Consider the following 17825-nt stretch of genomic DNA (forward strand, 5'->3'; position numbering starts at 1 on the left):
GACCTCATAAGAAATAGAAAGGAAAATATTTTTTGTATTTGCATATACAAATTTTATAAAGATCAAATAAAATCCTTGTCATTAAAAGCAAAACAAACAATTGAAAGCAAGTGAAATATTCAAATAAACATATACGTATTTAACCCAAGTTTAATATTAAGCCCTCTTATAAAACTAAACGGCATCTAGAGATCTCACAAAGCATTTGAAACTAAAAATATGAAAAACAAAGAAAATCATCTAAAGAAAGGTAAGTTTATGAAATAAAATTTACCTACTTTTGCAGCTGTTGTATTTGTTGAAAAAAAGTATGACTTTATTTCATGTGCATGCCAAAGAATGTAGAAATACTGTATATTTAGTTCATCATTTCTCATTATCTAGTATAGAAAACCCACAACTTTTATTACTTTAAATTTCTTATTTTCTACCCTCCCCGCCTATGCCCTCGATGTCTTCAGAGTCTCTTCTGGCCAGCATATCTTCTGCTTGAGGTGGATCAAAATAAAGCCCCCAAACAGACACACACAAAATAACCACCATCCAGCTGAGGAGAAATAGTTTTTCTGCCTTTGCCCTATCCTTATGTGTTAATAAAATCAGCTCATACATTCTGCCACAAAATTCAGCTTGGAAGTAATCCTCTGCTACTTAGAGCTGGATGAAAAGAGTACTCATTGTGAATTATGTTTCATCTGTCACAATAACCTTCTTTATTCTGTCAGGGACCTCCCCTTTGCCTGTGGCAATTAGAGAAAATAGGTATGCGTTGAAGTATGAAATAGTGGGTTCTTAAAATGAAACAAAACAAAACAGAAACTGATGACACATACAGACAGTACTTGCTAAGCAATATACTGCAGATTAGTAGAGGAGGCATTTTAAAGTCATTCTGATTTTACAAGAACACAGTAAAAGAATGCTTTTTAGAATGAGCAGGTGTTATAGTTGCTATTAGTTATTGTCAACATTAGTTATTGATGACAAGCTGTGAATTGTAATTGTACTAAAAATGAAATGTGAAAATCTTTTTATATTGTGTACTTTCTAATTAAATCATGCCATAAGATATATATCATAAATATATAGTATTTATTTAACATATGAAATCGCCATGATTTTATATGCCTTTCACAGATCATAATGAATTTATGTGCTTTTGAGTCTATTTTAATGCTCCAGAATAACATTTTTGCAAATTTTTTAATGGGCAAAAACAAAGAAAAACTTTCCCTTGAAACAGAGCTTATCAGACAATTTTGTTTAATTTAAAATCAATGTGATTATTTGATTTACTTACTCTTACAAATCACTGAAATTACCTGGAGGCAGTTCAAGTTCACCTTTCTGGAATAAACCTGTTAAATGATAGACACCATCTCATTATCTCCTTGAAAGAACACCTCAACTTTTTGGCTTCATAGGTTACAGTCAAAGTTATACTATCTCTAGTTACAAATGAATTAATCTAGAAGATCTTAAAAAGCTTAAAAGGAAAACAAACATAGTTGACAGAAAAGAAAATGCTCCTTCTAATACCAAAAGAAAGTCACTGCTGACGAAGTAACTGAAACGGTCATCGTAACAGTTGGATAAAGACATATAAATAATTTAAGCTAACACGAAATTCATAAAGTCTGAAGAAAAAATTCTTGAGGCTAAAAGGAAAACCTTTTGGCCCACTGCACAGGTTGGGCACAAAAGTGCTTGCTAAGCTATCTATTTCACACATGCAACGACAGAAGGTTCGATATTCATTCGATCGATGAGTGAAAAGGCACAATGGCAAAATCAGACAGACTTCTTTTCAAATACAGATCTCCAATGTCCCCCTCCAGTCTGCAGATGCACGGCTGGTGGTGTGGCTCAGACGGAGCAAGGGTTACATCAAGGCTATTCTCTGGACCGTGCAAACAGTCTAGACCAATGACCTGCAGCATCATGTCCTTTGAAGAAGAGGCAAGTTCGGTCATGATGAAGAAAAATCAAGGCGTACCCCTTTTAACAATAGGGAGCAGCTCGAGGCTGCAAAGAGGTAAGCAGGGTGAGAAGAAAACGGCATCTGCTTCCATGGTTACAGGCCAACTATGAGAACCTTGCTTTTCAAAGGAGTCTGTTCTCAGGCTCCCTCACAGGGTATGTCATGCATTATAAGCAAAGGCAGGTTGAGCTGAAATCCGCATAGTTATTTCAGAGTAAAATGATACGGAGCACATGGCTGGCAGAAAAAACAGTCACATGACTGTTAAGAACCAGACTTGGGCTATTTCAGAAAAGATTTTTTTTTTTTCTTATATCAGTTAAAGAAAGACAGTAAATTTGTATAAAACAAACAACCATGATAAACATGATTTTCATTTCTCAGGCTTTTATGTGAGCAGAGGTCAAGGGTCAAGACACCCCTCCACTCCAATGGCAGGACCATACAGCTTATTGTTAATATAGCTTTATTATGGATATCATTTTAAAATATTTTCCTCTTTTGGGCGGACCATAACATAGAATTTGTGTTCTTGTGAAATTTCTCTCTCTGACCTGATTCTCTTTGATGTGCTCCCCAGGATTTTCTGTGTTTTAGATCTCATGTTCATTTCCGTTGTTAGATCTCATGCGGAGAGGTAGAAGGTTTGGTGAGAAACTTCCTTGTTGTGTGGTTACTCCTCTAAGATAGCGCGAGCTTGCCTCTGCCTCGTGAAATCTGCTTATGGATAATTCAAATCTGCAGCAAAATCATTCGCCTCTGACAATCGTCCTGTTTCTAATTCATGCCTTTGTAGTTTATTCGATGTGTAATACATCAATGAGTCTATAGATTCTAATATCAATGTTTTTTTCTTTTCTGCAAGATAAAGTTGAATTTCATAATATGATACACTAGCAGCTAATGTTATCTGAATAAAAATTTGACAAGCATGAAATGTAACATATTCTGTATTATTAAGGAAAGACCATAGTATATAGTAACCACACAAAATGCACACATATATAAAATTAACATGGATAAGACATTCCTCTGACAATGTACCACAACTCAATATTAGAAGAATTAATATTGGGTTATGTTCTAACTATGCACAATTAACTACAGATGTTCCATGCAGTGTATCCTTTGAGCAATTTTTGTTTGCAAGTATATTGTTAAAATTAGGGAGTGAAAAAGGAAAGAATCTTTCAAAGGACAAGGCATGAAAACAACTTTCATTAAATTTATTTTTCAGAATTTATGTATTTTAATATAAATGGGTACCATATAGTTTTGTGTGTAGATATTCATTTCAAATACTGACCTTGTAGGAAAATATCCTTATAGCTTCGCAAAAGCAATGAAGTGTTGGTGATCATGGTAGAAACAATTTTACGCTTTCAATTAAGAAACCAGAGAAATATTTGCTGGTATGTTTCTCATATAGATGCCTTGATTTGAGTTGGGTTCATGGGCAAACATATGCTTATTGTTTGGTTTCTTTGAATGTGTTGAGGTACATTAGTTTCTATTCTTGCATGGTGAGAATAACTTAAGGTCTAAAAAAAGTGAGCTATTGGAATGTCACTATTATAGTATAATAATCTATACACTAGTATAAGCACTGAATGTATTATCTTAAAGTAGCCATGTTCTATTTGCTTTAAATAATTTACATACTACCAAAACAATTCAACATCAGAGTTTCTTTGATGTAACAACGGATCACACTTTCTCCCAAAGGTCAAGTGGCAAATATTTCTCCAATGAAAAATCTACCTGTCAGTTCTCCAAAGGAAAACAAAACAAAACAAAAACAAATACACGAAGGTTTATACATTGCATGATAATTTGTGAGTTGTGATTAAACGGAATTGTGTCTATTACCTGAAATCTGTTGCAAAATAGATAGTTGGATTCTTGTTATTTTTTCAGTTAGCATTTAGCCTACTCCTGCTTTTTTGTTTTTCAAAAACATGTTCAGTGTTAGGAATATTTACATGTGACCATAAATTAGATGAACTTGCTAAGTGTGGACATGTTTAAACACTTAGAAACATTCTAATAGAGTCAAATTGGTGGTTCATAAAATGCTATTATTTAAACATTTAACAACCAGGTAAAAATATTTAATATTGAGTATTTAGTGGGAAATGACAGCTTCTTGCCTTTAAAAAATTCTCTATATCTGAGTTATCAAATAGCTGTGTATTATGTACATCCTGCATATAGTTTGCAAAACCTCCACTCCTAACATGTGTTAGATTTAAATATTCCTTTAAATTACATTTTAGATTAATTATTGAGTTTTGCCCTCCTCACTTCAAAATTTGTTTAAAAAAGGAAAACTAAACTTGGCCTTGCCTAATGGAGCATTTATCCTTAAACGTGAAAAAAGAGTCTGAAATGTTTCAGTGACTTAGTGTCCCGATAGTGCTCTGAATATAGTATATGCTCAATAAATACCTCTCTAATAAATGAATACAACTATGGTTGCACCAATGAAACAATTTTCAGAATAATCCAGTCTCATGAAAATCAGGAAATAGTCCCTTCTATTTATTCATATATCGTTTCTAACCTTTTTCGTATGACCGTTCTATATGCATGAATCCTTCTTGTCAGTAATTTGCTATTAGTAAATGACTACTTTGTGTCCAGTATGACTAGAAGTGTGTGCCTACAGCCACATTTCCCAAACAAGGTCCTGTGAAGCATTATTATTCTGAAACATGTTGGAAGGTATTCTGAGGGAAAAAAATCAAAGAGTCAAATAAATGTGAGAAAGATGCTATGTTAAACAATGGAAATTAGGTTTCTTATGTACAATAGATTTTAGGACATTTAAAAGACTAATGTATATAGTGCATACCTAAGAAGGGTGTATAGTTGACATCATTTCACAGAACTATTTAATCAACTTTTTTCAGAAAATACTTAGTAATGTAATATGACCTAATTTCACAGATGTGCTCAAGCTGGCTTAAGCCAGATTGAATAAACCAATTTTAACTATCTCTTCTTATATTCCATTTTCAGTGACATCATTTTCTTAGCTTGAAATCAGTTGTGGCAGGAGTATTTGCACCATGGAAATCAGCAAATGCTATAAATCAGGGCTTTTTTTCTTTTTCCTTTTTTGAGACTGGTTGTTGAGCATTTACCAGCACAGCATTGCCTCATTTTGTCTCTGAATCCATTTTTGTAGGTAAGCTGTGCACTAAAAGGTCAGTAAGTTCAGAGGCTTTCTATTCATCAGACTGTCTAAAATACAAAACAATTTAAAGCAAATTGTGAACATTAGACATAAAAGAAAGGGATAGCATTAAAAAATATTGGACACTCAATTTTTCTTTTAAGATTTAGCGGTTATATCAGGATTTCAAAGAGTTTATGTTTCTGATTTCTTTAAATTACCTGGATAAACATCTATGTTTATTCATTTATCCCTTTTCTATCAAAACATTTACATACACTGGTATGTAATTGTCTAATCATATTTAAGTGAGTTCTCAACATGAAAGCTCTGAAAATCTCCAGACATCCTTTAAAAGTGTCTCTAACTCAGACCCACTTCATACGAACTTTGAGTTCGTATAATGCTGAGATGAAGCATCTTTAATCAGGATATACACTTTATTGCATATCATGTAATTTACGGCATTTTATCAGACATGTTTACCTGCCTGACATCTTGGGTGAGATTTTTAGGAGAAAAACAAAAATGGAAAATCTATGAATAGAGAATTTGAAAAACACATTTTAAGTGATAAATCAATTAATTCCCAACTAATCTTTTACCTACTAAATTTCTGTGAATAGGTTAACAAGTAAAATCTGTAAATATAGGTAGCGTATAAGTATAGATATTGGCTAAATAAAAGATGTAAAATCATGAATGGATTCTTCCTTGGCCTTATTGCTTGAAGCCATGAGTTCTATGGTGACATGTTTTGAAGGGCCTCTGGAATCTACTTTGTGACAGTATATGAGATGATTTATATGAGGGTTCTAATTTACCTTCCCAAACCCAGGAACCCAAAGCACTAGGCACTTCAGTTTACAGAGCCCTCAAATTAATTAATCCGAGTGTCTATTTTGAGCCAAGTTTTGTGTTATTTATCAGAAACTAAAACATGACTAATACATGGTTTCTGTCGTTGTGGAGCCCACAGTCAAATGTGAGAAGAAAGCAGCTGAAATGTGTTATCACAAGAGAAAATTTTCTGAATATAACAGAATATATATATATTTGATCTAAAGTGATATATCTATCAAATTTAAAGTGATAAATATATGTGTGTGTGTGTGTGTGTGTGTATATATATATATATATATATATATATATATTTAACTCCCAGAATTCTTCTGGTTTAATCCCAGAATCTCATATACTTTTTGGATTCTACTCTCATCACATAATAGGTATTGGTACATCACAGAGAGCTCCATATTCACAAAACATTAATGAATAGTACAACCAAGATGGCAATGATATGATCCTTAATATAGTCTTGAGTGAGGAGTAAGTACAGGTTGCGTTACAGAATCTTGCTGTCCATCCTGTTTGTAAACATAGGGAAGAATTTCACATAACGTCAAGATTCTCAAAGGATACTTCACTATTAAAGATAAATACAAGCAATTCTAAACCCAGTGAAAATTCTCACAGACATTCAGCTTAGATAATACTGTATGCCTGTGTGTTTATGTATGAAATACATATTTGAATACTCATTGGATAAGATGTTCTTTGTATTTGGAAAAAAATCTTTTGGACATACTAACATTATACTTCTGAAAACTCTGAAGCCAATATAAAGTTGTAAAAGGCTTTACTTTTCATTATATCAACCACGCTGGAAATTCATACACAATTTTATCACTGGAAAATTTTCTTCTCTGTGCCATAAAACCTGGAACTCTTCTTTCAAACAGCACCTCCCAAATTTGAAAACGTATTACTGTAAAATATTTATATATGAAAGGTTTTTAAATGAATTATTGAATGTCAGATATTTAATAAAAATACTTTTGCTATTTGATAGATAAATTTATAAGCACTATTATCTTTCAATTTTAGATAAAATAATTTTATATATTTTTAAAGAACATATCTCACATATCTCTGCTCTTGATAACAAATAGTGTTTTTTTTTTAAGAATTTCTATCTAGAAAATTTAATTCATTTTTCTGGGCCTAGTTCAACTATTCTCTCTTTTGTATGTCTCTTCTCACTGGACTATCTTCTCTTTCTATCTTTCCCCCTTATATATACTCATCTGCTCTTCACTTCTGTTCCGCTTATATTTTTGCTAAGGTAGGAACAAATAATGGTAATAAATAGGTGGCAAAGGGAAAATTTTAAAATATATACAGAAGATCTTTACATTGGAATGCTGTAGTAATTGAGTCTAAAACTCAGCTCTGAACTTTGAACCACTTTTTTAAAAATGCTGTGTTTGAACCTTAAAAAATGTAAAATAAAAACAATCTCCCTCCCTTCTGAAAGGGGAAATGACCTTCTTACTCCTGTCCATTCTTTTATCTGAGCAATGAGGGGTGAATGTGTTTATAAAAAGCCATGTTTAGGCTCTATATTGCCCTGCTTTCCAAAAATTATTGTTTGTTTTTACTAACATAAGATCACCCAAAGCAATTTCCTTTAATTAGCATGTCATAACCTTCCTATTTTTGTTGAGTATCAAATCCATTTGACTTAGCCATGGTGTGTCTCTGTGTATGTGCAGACCCCCTAATGTTAACATGTGTTAAAGTAAGCATCGCTCAATACTTTGTTTTTACAGATGGATGTCAACTATTGTGCTTGCTACATTACTTTGTGGCCTCTTTTGTATTCTTTTTTTCTCAAATGATTGACTCCATCTTCATTTACTTCCACCAGGCTGTTCAATTTTGCTTCCATTAAAAAGAGGCTCAATCCTTTAAATTTCTTTTTTTCTTTGAGGGCCACATCCATGGACCTAAAATATGTTTTTTTAAATTCATATTCATTATCATATATTTTATATAAATCATATTATCAGTTAATAATATATATTGAGTATTCTTTATAGGATATTATTTATTGCTTTGTTAATTATACTTATTTAATATAGAAATAGTTATATTAATACTCAGTATTAAGTAAGAATAATTCTATGTGATAGTGTTACTACTTTATATATATATATACACATATATCAATATGTATGGTGTGATGGTTCTTCTATTGCTATATACTATACATACTGCTATACATATGTATACATGATGAAATATACAGTTTTCTATATATACTGTCAAATATTGTCAAATATATTTAGTCAAATACATATAGTTTGACTATATATAGTTATATTCATATATAGGATATATGAATATATAAATATAGAATATATTTATTCATATATATCCTATATATAAGAATATATATAACTATATGTAAGCCAAATATATATAAAAGTAACAAATATATTTTACTATATATTTGAATATATAAATGTATTTGAATATATATGTATTTGAATATATAAATTTATGCAAAATAAAAACATAAATAAAATATATATAGTCAAATATGTATATATATAAGAATAACATTTCTATGTGATGGATCTTCTATTGCTGTCTGTCTATCTAGTCAAATATATATCATCATGATATATATATTTGAAGGCAGATAGGTTCTCTAGTTTTATACCAGTTAAGCAGTTAACTTTAGTAACTCTAAGTGAGAGTAACTCTTCAAGTGAAACTTTGAAAGAGTAACAGCTCACAGGAGTGTAAGTGTTTCTCCTTGAATTTTACAGTGCTCCTCCCTCTTCTTTGGGATAAAGGATTGGAGAGGGTGATTCTTTCTGCCTCTTTTCGTCCTCCTTTAAATGAATTATTATCTTTTTACTCCAGCATTCCAGGACTCAGGGTGTACTTTTTAACAACACACCTAAAAGTTGTTTTGTTTTACCAATTCTTTTTTAAAAACCCCAAATCATCCAGAAAGCAGTTGCTCCTCTTTCATCCTGTAATGAACCTGCAGAGTAACCTGGGGATATTGTTAATACTCAATTAAGATTCAGGCATCTGGGGTGGAGTCTGAGAATCTGCATTTCCAATAAGACCCCAGGAGGTGATGATGATGCTGGCCTATTGGTTGAGGTTAGAATGTGAGAGTTAGAAGACTTTGCTTCAAGTTTTCGCTTTGTCCCAATTCTGATCTTAACCTAGAGACTTAACCTCCCTGATCCTGTTCCTTATCTATAAAATGGGTGGAATCATGTTTCTTCTGCCTGCCTACCCATAGAATTGTTCTGTACTTCAAATTAAATTAAGGAGGAAAGCACTTTATAACAAAAGAACAGAAGAGAAGGTAATGCAGCAGGATATTTCGCCTTATTTCTTGAAGAGTATATTTTATACCAGTAACCTAATTTCCTTTAGAGTTTGCCCAGTTAGCCTAAAATGATGACCCCTGTTTTAAAGTTATCTTCAGTAGTTCTTTATCCTCTTTTACTCTCCTCTTTTTGTTCATTTATTCATTCATCAGACACTTATTGTGTAGCTACTATGCACAATACATTGTGCCAGCTGCTGTGGTTGCAATTGACTCTTTCCATTTACTTCTACTTTTTTCTCATTCTTTCAAATACTTTGATTTATTGATTTCACTCTGTGCTCCATGTCTCCCATATCTTTTACTTCTGCCTTCAGTGGGATGTTGAAATCACTAATTTGAAGGTTGCATTCGTCTCTTTGAATCAATTGTATTTAATTTCACAAATATTTACTGATTCCCCATTATATGGCAGAATCTCTACAAAAAGAATACAGAATTGAAGAACAGTACTTTTTTTTAGGAAAAAAAAGTTTATATCCTATTTGGGAAATAAGATTTTTAATAATTTTTCAATGAACTATAGTACCAGGCAGGAGATTTTTGGTGTCATAAGAAACACTTTAAAGGAGGAAGTCACAGCTGACTTGAAGGGTTTGAAAAAGACTTCTTAAAAGATGGCTAAATTGTGACAGAAATAGATGAGAGGAAGAAGAGGATAGATATTACAGGTGGAACAAATTATACCTTCCCCTCTCTTTGCTTTCATTCATGGTGAGTGACTTGGGAAAATGGTCTGGTGTAGGCAAAAAGGTCTTAAAAGTATATGAGGGAAAGCTGGAAGCTCTTATTGGAGTCACACTGTGATAGCCTTGGATGGAAGCTATGGGAGTCTGTACTTAATTTGGGGGGCATTAAGAAGTCTTTGAAAGTTAATGTTACTGTTGACCTTCCTGCCATGCATTCAAAGTCAACCTTTAATTCAATTCTGTGGAATTTAAATGTAAGTCAACTGTCGGGCTCTGGGTTTGTACAGAGCAGATTGGCAACCTCCAGGTAGTCTTTTGCCAGTTTTCATCAAGGCAGCATATCATAATGGACACAATATAGTGGACTGCATGAGGACGCCCGGCTGCTAATCCTGGTTCACTAACTTGCTAGCCTTTTGACCTTAGAGAAGGCATTCATCTGTCTGAGTCTTCAGTTCTTTCTTATAATGATGGGAATAACAAAATGCCTGTTTTCAAAGTTTATGATGAGAGATAAATATGAAAGAAAAATAAATTTTGAAAATGTAAACTTTGAAAGAGCAACAGCTCACTGGAGTATACCGGTTTCTCCTTGAATTTTGTAGTGCGCCTCCCTATTCTTTGGGATAAACGATTGGAGAGGGTGATTATTTCTGCCTCTTTTCCTCCTCCTTTAAATGAATTATTATCTTTTCACTCCATCATTCCAGGACTCAGGGCGTACTTTTTGAGAACACACATAAAAGTTGTTTTGTTTTACCAGCTCTCCTTCAAAACCCCCAAATCATCCAGAAAGCTGTTGCTCCTCTTTCATCCTGTCATGAATTTTTGTTCATGGGAGGTTATATTAACTACATTGTCATTCTGACCTTAGCTTAAATATCACCACTTAAGATATCCACCACCCCTGGGCACAGCCACAGTGTCCCTCATGGAACCTCTCACCATCTTTTTATTTTCCTTATGGAATTGCCTTCCTCATTTATTTGCTTGTATATTGCATGTCTCTTTAGCCAATAAGATTTTATTAGTTCATTATGTGGCAGACACTGTCACAGGAACTGGGAAAATGTGAGTGGGTGTGTCCTTAAAGAAACAGACACATAAATATTGATACTAATAATGATCTATTTACCTATGTGTATAAATGCCAGTAAGTAAAAAGTGCTATAAAGAAAAATAAAGCAAGCTGAAGGATTAGAGACTGAAGGTTATTATGCCTTTTTTTTTTTTTTTTTTTTTGGTCAGAGGTTCAGGGCATGGTTCCTTGATTAGGTGCTATTTACTCAAAGACCAAGAGGAAGTAAGAGAGTGTGCCAAGCCTGTACCTAGAGAGAAAGTGGTCCAAGCACAGGGAATTGTGAGTGCAAAAGCTTTAAGGTGGAGTCATGTGTGGTATGTTGAAAGACAAGGTAGGAGGCCAGGGTGGCTAGAGTGCAGTGAGCCAGCAGACAGCAGTAGACACTGAGGCCAGAGGGTTAGAGGACAGGGCCTGGGCACCATCAAATAAGCTTTGGAGTTCCTGTTAGGGTCGGAGATCTCACTCAGTGTGACATGGGGAGCCTCTCCGGAGGCTTTGGGCAGAAGAGTGGTATCATCCCACTCAAGTCACGTCGGCTGCCATGTGGTGATGAGGCTATTAGGTGGCTAGTGTCAAAGAAGGGAGAAGCAGCGTTATATCGGAATGGGCTCCTACCAACTCAGCAGAAGCCATGTGTGCATCTCTTCCTGAACCATGCCCTCATGTCACTTGAAATTAGCCACGGCGAAGGTAAGTCCATGTGGAAATCTGCAAATACTATAGAGGATTTCTTCTCCCTCCCTTGTCCCTTCCCCTTCTCGTCTTTCCTGCATTTCTTCCTTTCTTCTTCTTCTTCTTCCTCCTCCTCCAGTTCCTTCTTTTCTCTTTTTTTTTACAACATTATATATACTTATTTATTGTTTATAAGCAAAGTTGTTGATAAACACTTACCAGCACATCTCAGAAGAGACTTTTAGAAGTGTATTGCAACCATTTATGTAAAAGATGGTGGTGGCTTAGACTAGCATGGTAACAAAGGAGGTGATAGGAAGTGGTGAGATTCTGCAAGGAATCTTCAAAGGAAGCACGGACAGGTTTTACTGAATGACTAAGAAAACGGTGGAGAAAACATTCCTCGACAAAATAGTAGAGAAAATAATGAGTGAAGCCTGGCTTCCAGGTTTTCATCTTAGTATCTAAAAGAATAGTTATCGTGGATTAAGATGGAAATGGCTTCAATAAATGAGCAGTTTGTGAAATGAGTGTTAAAAACCTGATTTCAGACATATAAAGATTGACATCTTAAGGTGTAGCCAAGTGGAGATATTGAGTAGAAAGTTGGATATATGAGCTTCGTACTCAGGAAAGGAGTCTGGATTGGAGATATCAATTTGGGAAGTATCTGCAAGGAGAATAGTATGATTCTGTTCTCCCTAATTTAAATGGGGGCTGATTGCATATCAGAACAGAGAGGCAATGCCACCATACTTCCACTGCATCTTTTGCAGACTGCTGAGTCAGGTGTTTTTTTGATGCTTTTTATAATTTTAATATAATTTGAGCAACCAAATGAAAGTTGCTATGGATTGATTGAACCCTTACTTTTTCTGCAATTCATTTTCATAGTTATGCTTCTTGCTTCCTGGAACCAATCAGCTACAGCATCACTTCTCAAAATGTGGTCTCAGTACTGCCTACATCAGATTAAATAGGTGCATTGTAAAATGTAGATTTCTGCATTCCAGTGTCAGACCTATTTAATCTTAATATTAGTCCAGGGACCCGAAAATATCCATTTTACAAAACAAATACGCATTGTCTTTATTATGCAAATAACAATTTGGCCCCTCCTGATGTAATGTTTAAATATAAAGTTTAATATCTATCGTTTTGTAAGGATTCCCATGGCAAAAAAAAAAAATTGTTTATATCATTTATATATTTAAACCTGCCTGTACATATTCTAGGTTGTTCAGATTAAAATAGATTTAATTTCAGTCATATAGATTTCAATCTTAGTTAAATAGGAAAACCAAATTTAATCATCTTTTTTTTTTTTTTTTGAGGAAAAGTGTAATTTTAGGGCATACTGTAGATATACTGTTCAAAACAGGAAACCTGAGTTTTCAACTGTAGGTATTGGATTGCTATGGTAATTTAAATAGCAAATATTTCTGATTTTCTCATGTTTTGGGTGACAGAATCGTGTTGCATTTCCCAGCTCTCGTGATTTAGATGGTATAGAAAAGTAATTGTGACCAAGTGTGCCTGGGGCCAGAGTATTTAATTTCCAGTGTTCCTTCATCTTACTTGTGTCTTTCTCCACATTTGAGGTGGAAGCTGCCCTGTTATCCTGCTTAGCTAAGATGCTACAGTCAGCAAAGCTTCCCTGCTAACCTGTAATGAACGTTTAATGTGAGGGAGAAATACTTTGTGATTTTAAACTGGTTGGTACTCCAGCATAATCTAAAGCATCCTGACTGATTGTGACTTTCTCTAGCAAAAATGAACTGCTCTAACCTGAGTTATCTCCTATTTAACATGCTGACAGCGGGAATTGATCTAAGGTAATTCATTGCCCCAACAAATTAGGGATTTTTTTGTCAATATTTTGACCTTTGACAAATGAGAGATAGGTAGGAGGTAAAGGTCTCTTCTTTTACAAATTTGCTACTAATTAGGTTGTTTCAAAAACAAAAACAAACCAAGAAACAAATGTTACCGATCGATTTCTGCAAAGGTAGAGACTTTTATTAACAATCAGGTATGAAACCAAATAGCTTGTTCTGAATAATCTGGAGGGTGTCTCTGTTCCTTGTCTTTTTAGGTATGCCATCCAGCACTTTGTAGAAAAGGTTCACTGCAGAGCAAATGCAACTGTATTCTAGTAGCAGGAGCAATGAGCCTTCTAGTAGTACCAGGTGAAGGACCCTCCTTATATGTCCAGGAGTGGGTAGCAATTCAAATAGATTTTAGATCAAAGGTACCACTTCAAAGATGTTAGACTCACAACCTTTTCCTGGGGTTATTTTACTTTGTTCCCACAGTGGGGAGATTACCCAGTGTTTCTTGCCAATCACATATCTTCATCATCATTTTTCTCATCAATGAAAAATTATTTGTAACTGTCTTGTAAATTACCAAGCTCCCATGGGTAGTTTCACAGTGCAATATTTGGAGACTTGAAGCATTTGCCACAGGTGCCCCTAGAGTATAAACTACTGATTAGGAAATGGTAGATCTTAACCAATGTAAAGAGTGGATCTCTAATTAGATTTCTTTAAATCTTAGCTAACTTCTTCTAGTGTGTACATTAAAGAAAAACCAAGGTACTGTGAAATCTCTCTACTGGAGCATTTTAAAGTAAAGTATAGGCACTAACAGAATTAATTACAGATTTTTGTTTATTTTCCCCTATGTTCTACTAGGACTACAAAAACCATAAAACTCACCAGAATCTTACATTATTTTATTCAACAAATGTAGAAGTATTGCTTGATCAAGTAATGTGGTGCTTGATTTTTAACAATTTACTGTAGACTTTGTTATCAATATTTAACTAGTTTACTTCAATATTAAACAGATCAATAACCATTTGTTATTTAAACAAATGTTTAACCACAAACATACCTATATGTATATGGATGTGTGTGTTTGTGTATGTATGTATAATTGAGCTGCTTATATATCATGTAGTTTTTTAAACAAAAAAATAGATAATAGCATCTTAAAATTAAATCTTGAGACATTGGGTTATAAGTTTCAATTTTGCTTTTCTTTCTGCGTATTCATGGTCTGTAGAGGAGACTAGACTTCCCTAATGTTTTAGTTTCCAAATATTTTGCCAAGTATGAATGAACTAGGTCAACGAAGGAAAACATTCTTTCTGAAGCCTACATTAATATTCTACTGTTTGAAAAACTGGGCTAACCCTTCAATCATTTTGTTAATATTTGTAGCTTCTCACAGAGTTGTAAAACCTCATAAGTAAACATAGGTTTTTCAAATCTTTACCTCATTTTAAATTCTTTTAGTTACTGTTGTGAATAAAGAATTTCTGGATGGCTAATATCAGCTAATAAGATTAGTAAGGAATGAATTGTAAATAGAGCATATAAAATTACTTATTTTCAAATACTTCTTAAAAACTTGAAATAGTGTCTCTAGTATTATAATTTTATACATTTGACTTTTTATGATATATTTAATGGTAACATTTAAAATAAAACTGTTTTTTAAAAGTAGCATTTTACTAGCCCAATGACTGAAAAAAAGTTTGTAAATTTATAGATTTTAAACAAATTGAATGGTGCTAGTTTTTCTATTCACTTTTGTCTCTAAAATATTTTTGGTATTTTGTAAACAGCAATAAAAATAGCAAGAGTAAAATTTGACTTCATGGAAACTTAACTGTGACTGGACCTCTTTTAATAATTTTTATTAATTTTGACTCCTGTGAATTTTGATGTTTGGAGGTTATATATTTCCAAACTTAAAAAACAGACCTACAATAAATTAGATTGATTATTCCTAGTGAAGTACTTTACTAATATTATTGATATTATTGTGTAGTAGTTATTAGGGAGTCTAAGAGGAAGACTATTTTTATTATAGGGAGGATGGTTTCAACTGACAGGTTTTAAACTAAAATGTTTAAGCATTTTAGACATTCTATTTTAATAAGTATGTTTTAGTTTTAATTTTTTTAAGAATAAATGTGAAATGAATGATTTGGATATAGGTTAGTTTATGGAAATTTTTGATGATGACTATGTATTGATTACTTTTCATTTCAGGTTATTGATTATTAAAATGGCATTATAAAGAGATAGCTCCAAAATAACAGTGTCTTAATTACTTGAAAGACATGTTGTTTTAATATTGCACTGTAACATACCATACCATATTTGGTGATTTTTTTTCTCTATTCCAGTTTTGTATGCTACTGTAGGGCATAGAATGTGAGTAGCACCCCTAGAACTCAAAGTATATTTTTATGTGAAGCTGAAATGTTTTTAACTTGACTCAGCCAGTTAATAATTTTTGGATTTGGCAAGCTTCAGTACGGTCCTATTTTTGAGAAAAGCCAACAAAAGTATTTATCTTCTAATTCAATGTCCTTTTTTCCCTTAAAGAGATTTTTGTGTGCAAATGCTTATAAATGTATTGTTATTACAGTAACACTAACATATTCTATTTCTTTCTACGGTGCTAAAAATAATTAACATTTATGGTACATTTAAACTTTTGTCAGTCAGAAGATCTAGTTATTAAACCAAATGAAATAGGTATAACAATACCTTCTGTATTGGAGTTAGATTATCTCTGAAAGTAATACACACATCAGATGTTATATGGTACCACCGCTACCTCAAAACCATGCATCCTAATATGTTTATTTATAATAAAAATTTTAAATCAGTCATACATTTTCTTCTGAAATGCATACATAGCATATGCAATGGACTGGTGGAAATACTGTACCATTTCTCATTACTTATTAGAATGACTTAAAATATTGGTTTTGGCTAAACAACTAATCAGTATTTTAGTGGAACAGATTTACAACCTTTCCTGACAGTAAAATACACTTTTTGTATATAACATTTCTTACCCAAAGACAGTTGGCACAGTAGTAAACTTAATAATCACCTCCAGAAATAAAACATGGAAAAACAATGTTAAATTAAAAACAATTGGCAACTTTAGATATACGTATATGCTTGTGTGTATGTTAATGTGTGTATATTATACACACAGAGTTTATACAGGCATATAATAATATACCATTATGTATTATATATATATATAACATAGACATATAATATATATTTAAATAAATTATATAAGTATATATAAGTAAATTATATAAATACATATAAATATGTAAACATAATTATATAGATATATAATTATAAAGGCAATAGATTCTAAAACTCAAAACAGACACATATAAAGAGAAAGTTACTAATCATTTCCTCCTGTCATCCTGAGGCAGCCAATGTCAGAGTGTGGTGTGTGTTTCTTTACCTCACTCATGAGCTTCTCCAAGCTCAGAAAGCACAGATGCACGTTTGTACATCTCTTTTGTTAGAAAGAGAGATGTGGTTTTGTTTCTGTGGTTTGTTTTTATACAGAAACTATCAAACACATTGCTCTTCATTTTGTTTTTTATAGATACCCCTTCAAATTAATATACAGAATATTCATATTAAGGCATGCTATTTTTAATTTAAGGAAATAAAAATCTGGATATTCATTGTCTTTCTTTTATCATAGCCATAGTAAAAAGTACCAATATTGTCATGGACTGCAAATCTCAGGGATATTTTAACTCCAGATCTGGTAATCGCATGAAAATGACTCTGATGTCTATGGGAAAGCAGGAAACCAAGATTTACAAAGTGAATTGCAATTTGGTAGACAATGTTCTTTTACTGATCTACTTGTTATCTAGTGCTATCTATCTCCAAAAATACCTGATCCTCATGGTAGAATACATGCTTCACTATGATATAATGGTTGTAGTTTTCAGACACCGTATTTGGTGAAAAAAATCACATTATAAAACCATACGTCAGTAGAAAGGAATGAGTTAGGGAATAGATTTGCTAAGCTTCTACCAATGGTATAAAGGCGGATGCAGGATTTTCTTTAGATTAAGACTAGGTATAATGAAGAGAGCAAAAATAAGTTAAGCCATGGATTAATCCAAGTGAATACAGTTCAAGGAAAATAAACATGATACAATCATATGT

General features: G+C 32.9%; 1 long non-coding RNA gene across 9 annotated transcripts in view, besides 1 other annotated feature; it reads left to right on the forward strand.

The window, feature by feature from the left end:
* MIR99AHG (mir-99a-let-7c cluster host gene) overlaps positions 1–17825 on the forward strand; it is a 561240-nt gene that overhangs the window by 237243 nt on the left and 306172 nt on the right. The window lies entirely within an intron of this gene.
* Positions 1111–2751: an enhancer, noted in NCBI's record as "VISTA enhancer hs1304". NCBI's record gives its function as "enhancer in: neural tube[5/5] | hindbrain (rhombencephalon)[5/5] | midbrain (mesencephalon)[5/5] | forebrain[5/5]" and the evidence as "EXISTENCE:transgenic organism evidence [ECO:0001131][PMID:17130149]".

This window comes from Homo sapiens, chromosome 21, assembly GCF_000001405.40.
Source record: "Homo sapiens chromosome 21, GRCh38.p14 Primary Assembly".
NCBI lineage: Eukaryota > Metazoa > Chordata > Mammalia > Primates > Hominidae > Homo > Homo sapiens.